The following is a 12617-nucleotide window of genomic DNA, read 5'->3' as shown; positions in this document are numbered from 1 at the left end:
TATGCAGTATGCTTGTAATTCTAATAAAACACTGTATCTTGTTTTGTTAAATTCTGATTTTTATAGTATTTCAGATTATAATTTCTGTATTTTAGGAAACACAAAATTTTAAACCCTTAAAATAAATAATTAAAATTTTTTAGCCTATATTCCTTGACCTACTGCATGTATCTAAAAGAAAACCATAAAAGGAAATGGTACAGGTATGCAAAGGCACACAGAGTGAATATAACGGACTATGGAGACTCACAGAAGGTGGGGTCGGGGACAAGAGAGATTAAAAAGCTACATATTGGGTACAATGTACAGTACTTAGGTGATGGGTGCACTAAAATCTCGGAGTTCATGCTATACAATTCATCCATGTAACCAATAACCACTTGTATCCCAAAAGCTATTGAAATTTAAAAAAGAATTAACTTTTTTTAAAAGGAAATGATAGAAGTCAATCTCAACTAAAACTCAAACCATTAGTGTTAGACTTTTTCAAGCATTTTCCATTTTCTAAACAGATGTTTTTCATCTTATTTTTGCTAATTCCTGAAATAAAAAAGCAATGGTTTAACTATTAATTTCTGATCTAGCTCAATCCAATTGTGAAACTTACGAAATACTATTGGCACCAAATTAAGATGTAGCCTAAGTTGATATTTACAGAGTAAGGATGAGCCAAACACCCTTGTTATTGAATATGGTTCAGGGACCAGCAGCAGCACACCACCTGGGAGCCTGTTAGAAATGCACACTCTCAGGTCTCACCTCAGACCTGCTGAATCAGAGACTGCACTGAACAAGATCCCCCAACAATTCCTAGGCATTTTCATGTTTGAGAAGCACTGAAGACAATGGAAGGCTTGCAACAAAGTTAGAATTCTGAAAATATCCAACTCAGTAGAAGCTGATGAAAACATCTATTGTAATAAAGTAGAACAGGGGAATTTTTGGTTTATGGATTTAAGAATGAAAAAGAGTTCAACCATAATACTGTGCTTCATAAAGATAACCTCATTCAAAATGGAAGCTCTGCTTTACAGAGCCAAAACTTCCTGCAAGAGCCAGATTTAGGCTTTATGTGAGTTCTCTCTGTCTCAGAAGGAAATGTAAAACAAAAACAATGCCATATTGAGCCCCATAAATAAAGGATCTCCGTGAGCTGAAAATCCCCGTGGGAGCCCCACACTAGTCCCTCAATGATCCCTTTATAATGAATGAAAGCTTTAACAGATGATGATCCCCGAGGTCACAGATAGATCTATCTGTGATATAGGTTATCTGTCACAGATAGATCTATCTATCTGTGATATAGGTTATCTATCACAGATAGATAATGATACCCAAGGTCAGGGGAACATTCACACAGCAAATGTTCAATAAATAGAATCAACCAAGTTGTAAAAGCAGCCTGACTCCACCTTTATACTTCTAAAGGTTGTCTCGGAGGACATTGAGTCCAGAGTTGGCTCAAAAACAAAAAGATGTATTTTTACATCATTTTAAGAACCTTGAGGATGTTTGATAGAAGACACATTTGGGATTCAGAATGGTATTTTTGGTTTAAGAACTTCAGCTTTAAATAGAAGAAAAACACCTGATGGTTGTTTTGCAAATAGAGAGCTTTATATCCTTTAAAAGTTTAAATATAAAATTTCAGACTGTAACAAAGGAGAGGTCAGCCAATAAGTAAATTCATCAACAACTCAAAAGGATGCTAATAAACATCTCTCTTACTGCCAGTGAATAAGAGGGCTGCTTGTTTAAGACATGGCAATCAAGCACCTGGACATATTTTGGTCCTCAAGGACTAGGAGGATATGACAAACCAGCCTTTCTAAAGTCAGAGATTTGGAATTAACATTCTCTAAAAAGCACTGATTGACTTTTCACCTTTAAAAGAATACAATCACTTTAACTTGTTCAGTCATTTTTGACAGGTGAAAACCTAACAGAAAACGTTTTTACCCTCTTATTTCTTGCTTAATGAACACGTTACTTATTCATGCTTTTGCGTCATCATTGACTTCATACTCTTCATCTCTCTGATCATTAGTTAGTCTTCAAAGCCTTGTTTTTTTCTTTTTTCTTGAAATGTCCCTGGTACCCATCTCTAAATCTTCAGTCCAACTTCTATCCTCTTTTGATAAGTCCTTGTCTCTCTGAGATGGATGATAATAGCCTCCTTTTTAGCCTCTCTGATTCCAATCTCCATCCACCCAATTCATCTTACACATTGTTGCAACTCAAGCTTCCTTAAATAACACTTAAGTCACACGACTCCTCTATATGCTCTTATTCATCATACTTTCTAATTTGGAGTATTTGGAATTAAATACTCCAAATTAGAAAGTATGATGAATAAGAGAAGTTCAGAATATGCATGTTCATCACTAGGATCTGCATCTCCTGCTGTACATATTTGCTATCTATACAAAGCAGATGTATTAATTTCCTATGGATATTGTAAAGCATTACCGTAAATGTGGTGGTTTAAAAGAACACCAGTTTACTTTCTTACAGATCTGGAGTTGGAAGTCTGAAATCAGTTTCACTGAGCTAAAGCAGTGACAGTAGGCAGAGCTGGTTCCATATGGAGGCTTTGAGGAGATAATTTGTTTCCTTGCCTTTTTCAATTTACAGTGGCTGCCCATATTCCTTGGCTTATGGCTCCTTACTCCATCTTTAAAATGCATCAGTCCAATCTGTTTCAGTCATCACATCGGCTTCTCCTCTAAATGGCTCCCCCTGGGTCCCTCTTCTAAGGACACTGTGATTAATTGGGCCCACCCAAACAATCCGGGATAATCTCCCCACATCAACTTCCTTAACTTAATCACTTCTGCAAAGTCCCTTTTTCCATATACAGTAACATTCACAGCTGGTTCACAGGGATTAAAATATGCCTGTATTTGGGGAGACATTATTCAGACTGCCACAGCAGATTTCATGCCGAAAATTATAGGCAGACTAATTACCTTAAAATATAAGGCAATAACACCATTTCTGGAAAATAAAGTAGATGTACTTTTCCCTATTCTTCCCATAAGTAAAATTTAAAATCCTATATATATTTAAAAAAAAAAACAAGACTCTGAAAAATAGAAAAGAAAAAGGCAGATTGGTTGGAACCTTGAGACCTAAGTAACGAAATGGTGGTGAGTTCCTCGAGTTTTCCTTTTGCCTTATATAGCCTAGTCTTAGGGCTGAAGAAGATATGATTCAAAAATGCCAATAGAGCTGATTTTTTTTTCAACAGAGTCCTGCTGTGTCGCCCAGGCTGGAGTGCAATGGCACAATCTCGGCTCACTGCAACCTCTGCCTCCAAGGTTCAATTGATTGCTTCAGCCTCCGAAGTAGCTGGGATTACAGGCACATGCCACCATGCCCAGCTGATTTTTGTATTTTTAGTAGAGACGGGGTTTCACCACATTGATCAGGCTGGTCTCAAACTCTTGACCTCATGCGATCTGCCCGCCTCGGCCTCCTAAAATGCTGGGATTATAGGCATGAGCCACCGTGCCCAGCCCAGAGCTGATATTTTTAAAGCCCGAAGAAAAGCCTGCTCTGTCTAGTCAAAGGAACAGGAAAAGGGTATCCTAGTAGACAACAAAACATTTCAACAACTGCTCTTCTCCAGCCAAACCCCACAGGAAATAAACTGTGGCCCTAACCCTGCCAGCCAGCAAAGACTGAGAGGGGATCCTGGATTTCCACGCTGCCAGGCTATAGGTAGGCACCCCTTTACCCTTTGTCAATCCCTCGCCACAGAAGTGTCAAAGAAGGCTAAGTTGGGAGTCAGATAATGAGATCCCCCAATTTCGGCCCCACTCCTCACTAAGGTAGTAATGGTGGAACCTGGAAGTCCACCTCAACCAGGCAGTGACCAGCAACCCTCCTCTGTCAGCTGGAGTGGTGTCACAGGAGGCCTAGTGGAGAGTGAAGACTTTCACCAACACCCTTCAGTAACAAGGTGACCCCTATCACAGTGTCAGTGCAGACCCGATGGAAAACTAGAACTCCCACCTCCACCCACCAGCAACAAGAAGCCCCTCAGCCTTGGACATCAACAGAGGCTGAGTACAGAATCCAGATTCCTGCCTCCACCTGGTAGTAGCAATGTGGCAACCCCCTGCCCCCCAACCCAGCTGCCACCACCTTCCTCTGCTGAAGCAGTGTAAGAAGCCAGATACAACAGAATGTTTTAGTAAGATCCAGAGTCTCAACATACTAGGAAAATGTCCAGGTTAACATTTTCTCACATTGACATTGACTGAATGAAAAGAGATGATCGCTAAATGCCAACACCAAGATGACAGAGATGTTAGAATAATTTGACAAAGATTTAAAAGTAGCCATGATAAAAATGCCCCAACAAACAATTACAAAGACACATGAAACAACTGACAAAATAGGAAGTTTCAGCAAAGAAATAGATATAAAGAAAACCAAACAGAAAGTTTAGAATAGCATATAACCAAAATGTAAAATTCAGTGAGTGGGTTAAATGGCAGAATGGAGAGATGAGAGAATTTGTAAAGGGGAAGATAGAATAGTAGAAACTACCCAATCTGAATAACTAAGAGAAAATAAACTAAAAATAAAATGATGAAGAGAGTCCCAGAGAGCTGTGGGACTATAACAAAAACCTAACACTCATGTCAACAGAGTTCCAGAAGGAAAGGAAAAAGAGGACAGGGTTGAGAAAGCACTTAAGTAAATAATAGCTGAAAACCTTCCAAATTTGACAAGACATAAACCTAAACATTCAAGAAGCTGAGTAAACCTCAAAAAAGGATAATTCCAATGAAATCCACACCTAGACACATTGCCAAAATACTGAAAACTACAAGGAAGCAGAAGGAAATAATAAATATAAAAACATGAACCAATGAAATTAAAAACAAAAATATAAGGAGAAAATTAATGAAACAAAGAGCTGATTCTTTGAAAATATCAATAAAATTGTCCAACTTCTAGGGAGACTGACAAAGGGAAAAAAAAATACACAAATTACTAACATCAGAAATGAAGCCAAGAAAATCACTACAGGCTCTGCAAACATAAAGGAATACTTTAAAAAAAAAAAACACACTCCACAAACATAATTTTGACAATTTAGATGAAACGGACTAATTCCTCAAAAAACAAACTACCATAATTCACCCAATATGAAATGGATTATTCAAATAGCCTTATATCTATTAAGGAAATTGAATTCATAATTTTAAAAAGAAATCCCCAGGCCCAGATAATTTCACTGGAGAATTCTACCAAGCATTTTAAGAATTCACACCAGCTCTCACAATCTCTTCCAGGAAACAGAGAAGAACAATTCCCAATTCATTTCATGAAACTAGTATTATCCTGACACAAAACCCAGACAAAACAGACAAAAAAAAGAAAACTACAAACCAATGTTACTTATGAATATGGACATAAAAATTTTTAACTAACAGAGTTCAGCAATATATAAAAAGAATTACACACCATGACCAAATGGTGTTTATTCCAGGGACATAAGCCTTCTTCAATATACAAAAAACAATCGATGCAATCTACCATATTAACAATCTTAAGAAGAAAATCATGTGATCATATCAATCAATGCCAAAAAAGTATTTGACAAGATTCAACACTCATTCATGATAAGAACCCTCAGAAACACAGAAATAGAGGGGAACCGCCTCGACCTGATAAAGAACATCTATAGAAAACCTCAATTAACATACTTAATCCAGGTGAATGCCTGGATGCTTTCCTTCCAAGACTGGGAGCACGACAAGGATGTCTGCTCTTATCACTCTTACTCATCACAGCGCTGGAAGTTTTAGCCTGTCCAACAAGGGAAGAAAAGGAAACACAAGGTATATAGATTAGAAAGAAAATAAAATTGTCCTATTTGTGGATGAAAAAGCAATCCCCAAGAATTTGCACATACATACACACACACACACTCCCATATAAAACTCCTAGGTTTCGGGATACAAAATAAACAGAAAAATCAATTGTGGCCAGGCAGGGTGGCTCACACCTGTAATCCCAGCACTTTGGGAGGCCGAGGTGGGAGGATAACCTGAGGTCAGGAGTTCAAGACCAGCCTGGCCAACATGGTAAAACCCCATCTCTACTAAAAATACAAAAAATTAGCCGGGCGTGGTGGCACACGCCTGTAATCCCAGCTACTTGGGAGGCTGAGGCAGGAGAATCACTTGAACCCAGGAGGCAGAGGCTGCAGTAAGCCAAGATCGTGCCATTGGACTCCAGCTTGGGCAAAAAGAGTGAAACACCGTCTCAAAAAAAAAGAAAGAAAGAAAAAGATAAATCAATTGTATTTCTACATACCAGCAATGAACATATGGACATAAATACCATTTATAATTGCTAAAAAAAAATAAGTACTTAGGTGTAAATTTAACAAAAAAGGACTTGCATCCAGAAAACTACACAATGCTGATGAAAGAAATCAAAGAAGATCTAAATAAATGAAAAGACATATCATGTTTATGGATTAGAAGACTCAACAATAGTAAAGATGTCAATTCTCCCCAAATCGATATAGAGGATTAACATACTTCCTATTAAAATCCCAGAAACATTATCTGTAGATTTAGACAGGCTTACTCTAAAATGTATATGAAAAGGAAAAGAAAGTGGAATTGCTAAGAATATTTTGTTAAACAAGGAGAAAGTGGAAGGAATCACTCTTCCAATATTAAGGCTCACTATATAGGTCCAGTAATCAAGAGAGTGTGGCATTGAAGGAAGGAGACACATAGGTCAATGGAACAGAATAGAGAACAAAGAAATAGATCAACACAAATATATCCAAATGATTTTTGATGCTGCTATAGAAAAAATTCAGTGGAGAAACTGAATTTTCAACGAAAATGGTACTGAAGCAACTGGGCATGCATAGGCCAAAAAAAAAGAAGCTTGACCTAAGTCTCACACGTTATGAAATAAACAAAAACCTCAAAATCCATCACAGACTTAAATGTGAATGTAAAACTATAAACTTTTTAGAAAAAAAAATATGAGAAATCATTGAGTCTAGGGCTAAACTAAGAGTCTCAGACAATATCAAAAAGAAAAAAGTGATAAAAGGGATTTCATCAAAATTTAAAACTTTTATTCTGTAAAAGACCCTATTAAGAGGATGAAAAGACAAGTTATAGACTGAAAAAAACCTTGAAAAACATTTACCAGACAAAGGACTAGTATCTAGAATATACAAAGATTGACCTTAGTCATCAAGAAAAAGCAAATTAAAACTATAAAGCAAGTTATCACTTAAAAAATCTAATGGCTTAAATTTAAGAGACTGACAAACCATTGCTGATGAGAACATAAACAGGCATATCTACTTTGGAAAACTGTTTAATAATTCTAACTCTGAATGCACACATACCCAACTGTTCCACTCACAGGTATATCTCCAACAGATAGCTGTACCAAAAGATAAGAAATAGCTAATGAGGGTGAATCGCTTTTCGTATGTTTATTGGCCATTTGTACATTCTCTTCTATGAAATGTCTTTTCATGTTTCTTACACATTTTTTATCAGATTGTCTTTTTATTGTTAATGTGTAGGAGTGTAAGTATTCTGGGTACAAGTACAGTGCCCATTATTATGTGATGTAAATATTCTCCTACTCTTGTGGTTTTCATTTTCACTCTCTTAATAGTGTCTTTGATGAAGAGAATTTTACAATTTCAACTCAGTTATAGGTAATGCTTTCCATGTACCACTTAAGATATCTTTGTTAACTTCAAAGTATGAATACATTATTTTATGTTATCTTCCAGAAGCTTCACTGATTTTTCTGTCACATTTGAATCAACAACTCATCAGGAATTCCTTTAAAAAATAGGTTGTGAGATAGGAGCCAAGGTTCTTCTTTTTCCCCATATAGATATCCAGTTGACCCAGCAGAATTTACTAAAAAGACCTTTTCCTGTTGCTCTAACATGTCACCTTTATCATAAATCAAGTGTCTGTATATTTTTGAATTTGTTTCTGCACTTTATATTCTATTCTATTGGTTAATTTGTCTGTCTTGACACCAATATCTCAATATCATAATTGCTGCAGTTTTAAAATGAATCCATATCTGGGAGTGTAAATCCTCCAGCTTTGATCTTATTCAAGATAATCTTTATCTTTTCACTTATTTATATCTTCTTTAATTTCTCTCAATAAAAAAAATTCTTCGGTTTTCTGTGTAGAGATATTGCACATCTCTAACCTGAAGTTACCAGATACATTGTAAATGGTATAATTTTTTAGGTTTTATTTTCTAATTGTTTAAGGCTAGTATATGGAATTACAACTGATTGTGCTCCTGTGTAAACACAACCCAAGATAAGATACAGAACATTTCCAACACTCTAGAAAGTTCTGTCATGCTTTTTTGGGGGGTCAGTTTTCCCTGACACACCTCAGAAGCAATTGCTTTCTGATTTCTATCACCACAGAATGGTTTTGCTTGTTCTTGGGCTTTATCTATACAGCATGTATTATTTTGTGTCTGGCTTTTTTTTTCCTCTTACAATAATATGATATTCATCTATGTTGAGTATATCAGTAATTCATTCTTTGTTATTGCTGGCTAGTATTTCATTTTATGAACATATTATGATATATTCACTCATAAATTGTTGACGGACATTTGGATGATTTCTAATTTTGGGCTACTATGAATAAAGCAACTGTGAATATTCTTGTACAAGTCTTTGTAGACAAATGTTTCCATTTCCCTTATTTAAATACCTAGAAATGAAATCATTGGGTCATAGAGTTAAATATAGATTAACGTTATGAGAAATGGCCAAACAATTATACACCAATTGGTTAACACATGAGAGTTCCAGTTGCTCCATATCTTTGCCAGCATTTTGTAGTAAAACTTCTTTTTTGTTTGCCATTTTGGTTGACATAAAATAGTATCTCATTGTGGTTTCAATTTCTATTTCCCTGATGGCTAATGATGTTGGACATCTTTTCATATACATATATTACCTTCTATGAGATATCTGGCCAAGGCTTTTGCCCATTCAAAAATTAATTTTTAAAATTGCTTATTTATACTTTTTAATATATGTGTACAAGTCTTTTGTCAGATATATATACTGTGTGTCTTTTAATTAGCAGAATTTTAAAATTTTGCTAAAATTTCTGAAAACTGACTTTGTATCCTGCAATCTTACTAATTTCACTCTTTAGTTCTAAGTTTTTTTTTCTTTCTTTTTTTTTCATTGCACTGGTTAAGATTTCCAGTATAATATTAGAAGTAGTGAGAGTAGACACCCTTGTTTTGTTCCTGATCTTACAGGAAAAGCATCACCATTAAATATAATTTTAGCTATAGAGTTTTCATAGATTATTTTTATCTGAATGAGGAAATTTCCTTCTATTTCTAGTTTATTGAAAGTTTCTATTAAAAATGGGTACTAAACTTTGTCAAATTTTTGTACATCTATTGGGATAATCATATAATTTTTCTACTTTTTGTGTTAATTTGGTGAATTATATTGATTTTCTAATATTGAGCCATGATGGTCATGATGCACTATCTTTTTTATACAGCTGGATTTGATATGCAATGTTTCTTTAAGAACTCTGTGTTTATGATCATGAGGAATATTCACCATCTGTATATCATTTTGGAGGACTTTCTGTTCAAATCATTTACTCATTTTATATTAAGTTGTTTTCTTGAGTTTTGAGAGTTCTTTATATACAGCTTAAGTATCTATAAATTTAAAAGCCTTTCTTCAGCCTAGAGTGCCTTTGCCTCATAACTCTAATTTCTTCTCTTACTATTTTGAGATATGGCAGAGAGAAAGAGTATAATAGGGAGGTTGGAGGGAGTATGCAGCCATGAAACATGAGGGCTGTGTTATCTGACACCCTGAGAAAGCTAGGTGACCTTGACTGGTAGAATTCTCTGCTATATCTCCTCACCTTGCGAGCTGTACTTAGCAGAATGCCTGGGGCAATAGGTATAGCAATACCTATTAAATGACAAGCAATAATTTTAAGACATTGATTAAATGGCTTAAAGAACTAGGCTTAGGAGTATTTGGTTTTTTAACCCTAAGACCATTTCTTCAACTTCAGCAATTAGTATAATGAGAACCTGGCAGATACATGGCACAAAGCTCCAGGCTACAGGCACATAAAATGCAAAACAGAGAAATAGAGGAAGACAATGAGAATCTGATCAAGAATAAAGCTCCAAAATAACAGAATTATCTTATTTGTACCTCACGGGTAAAAAGAGAGAAATTCCTGTCTTTGTAATGATCCTGTCCTTGGATATTTTTTCTAATGCATTCATTAGACATCTGCATCATTCTTTTAAGCTAAAGTATAACCACTCATTTTTCAGCACTTCTTAATCAGTTATTACCTCTAGGACTGGCAACTAAAGTAAGTAATTCCTCAGCAGGCTCAAATCCTCTTAATCATTTCAGATGCTAAGAGTTTACTTATGGCATCTTCCTATGAAATTCATGATCGTTTCTTTACGAATTCACACATGATCATGATCATTAAAACTGGAAAGGAATAATTATATTTAAATTGGAAATAAATAATTATATGGAAAAGAATGCTATTCAAAAGAGAGCCATCAGCCAGGCATAGTGGCTCACACCCGTAATCCCTGCACTTTGGGAAGTCAAGGTGGGAGGATTGCTTGAGCCCAGGAGTTCAAAACCAGCCTGGGCAACATAGTGAGGCCCCCGTCTCTACAAAAAATAAAAAATTAAAATTAAAATAAAATAGAGTCAACCCAGCATAAAAAGAAAAAAAAATGAAATTTCAGTAAAAGATATCACTAATAGATAGTATTTTAGAGCTGGACTTAGATCAACCAGTACTAACTTCATCTTCTTGTTTTATTAATGAGTACATTGAGATACATTCTAACATTCTAAGAAGAAAGGATTGTGTCCTACAGGTTAAATCTCTCTCTCTTGGGCTGAGGCTGGACAAAAAGTTAATGAATGAATGGCTGTGGGAATAAATGAATGAGTGAATACATAAGTATTCTTCTAAATAATGGTCATAAAGCTAGTTAGTGGAGAGCCAGAACTAAAACTCAGTTCTCCTCCTTTTTTCTTCTGTGGTAACTTCTTGGGTATATTCATAAGTTGTACCTACATTAGCAGTTTAGTTAGTTAGTTGTCAGGAGAGCAGCAATCTTACCAAAATCACTGAGTGACCTTAATTGTGGTTTTTTTTTTCTCATTATGCTTTAAGACATGCAAACAAAAGAAAAGAATGAAAAGTGCCAAGTGGGATGTCATAAGAAAATTGCACTGTAGCCAGATCACACATAGAAAATGACAGAAAAAGGGTAGGCAGAGATGGCTCTGTGATTTTCTTCTCACTCTCACCTGATCTAAGAGATATAAAAGGTACAAAGTTAGAATGCATTAGCTGTCAAATCAACAATATTCTATTAGAGGCACACACTTCTCTTAACAATGCAGCCATTTTATAACCACAGGCTGACATGGTCCACAACCAGGGGAACAAGAGGTAGAAAGGATCAAGAACAGGATATAATGTGGTAATGGGGACAATATACTTACTCTTCCAGGAAGTGCTGCTGGGGTCCTATAATAGAGCCTGGCCGGCATATTCTAATCCAAGCAATTATTTCAGCATGTGTAAACCTGTAGTGTTTCATTACATAACAGGCTATCAATGTCCCTGTTCTTCCAAGACCAGCTGTAAGAGAATGAAACAGAATAAGAAATATAAAGTCTAGCAAATGCTACCACAAAAACACTGAAATCAAACCTTGCCCAGAAACTGCTCTGCATTCAAGTGTGATGATATTATCAACAGCTAATAAACATAACTGCTATCATGTAAAACCCAATTTTTCTTTAAACAATGAAAAGGGCAAAATGAAGGTGCCATAGATTTGGGGGCAAGAAAGTGATGTGATAAAAAGCAAATGGGTCTGGCAGCAGCATTACTGGCTGGAGTGGAAAAGCCAGAGATGGAAGCAAGAGAGATGAGATGGAAGGCTGGGGCAGGGAAGCAAGGGTGGCTGGGGGGTTGGGATGAGGGTGGAAAGGGATGAGGGTGAGCAACTGCAACAAAGATGTAAAGCTCAATTAGAAATCCATTAGGACTGGGTCACAGGGAAAGTTATAGGTAAGTGACATTTCTGACCTAGAAAACTGGTACAATGTTGACTTCATCCATGAAAACATTTAGTTAGAAAAAGAAAGAAAAAAAAATTGTGTGCATATGCGTGTGTGTGTGTGCGCGCGTGTGTAAAACAAAACAAAGTAGGGAAACATTGATAGTTTCATTTTTTACATGTTCAAGAATCTTCTGCTTTTGAGGGGACCTTTTGTCAGCTTTCCCTGATCAAACAATAAAGGTAGTCTTCTCTTATCTCCCAGTAATTGGGAGCACACAGCATTTCAGCAAATCTAAAACTACAGTCGTGTAGTATGTAAGTTCCACTAAGAAAGAAAAAATTAAACTATGACATGCCATCAATTTTAAGATCCATTCTAACTTCAGAAATGTTAAAATATGAAAAATGTATGTCTTTAAATCAGTGTTCCTCAACCTTTTTTACATTATTGTTCC

The 12617-nt window shown here is 35.9% G+C and overlaps 1 protein-coding gene across 6 annotated transcripts in view; it reads right to left on the bottom strand.

Annotated features, from left to right (window-relative positions):
- The window catches only part of CDC14A (cell division cycle 14A), a 175277-nt gene that overhangs the window by 40587 nt on the left and 122073 nt on the right, over window positions 1-12617 (bottom strand). For all 6 annotated transcript variants that reach the window (NM_001319211.2, NM_001319210.2, NM_003672.4 and 3 more), the window contains one exon: window positions 11597-11735. In NM_001319211.2, the coding sequence (NP_001306140.1) occupies window positions 11597-11735 (139 nt within the window). The remainder of the gene's footprint in view (window positions 1-11596; window positions 11736-12617) is intronic.

The sequence above is a fragment of the Homo sapiens genome, chromosome 1, assembly GCF_000001405.40.
Source record: "Homo sapiens chromosome 1, GRCh38.p14 Primary Assembly".
Lineage (NCBI taxonomy): Eukaryota > Metazoa > Chordata > Mammalia > Primates > Hominidae > Homo > Homo sapiens.
The sequence above is the reverse complement of the archived record's forward strand: the minus strand, read 5'-3'. Positions and strand labels throughout refer to the sequence as shown.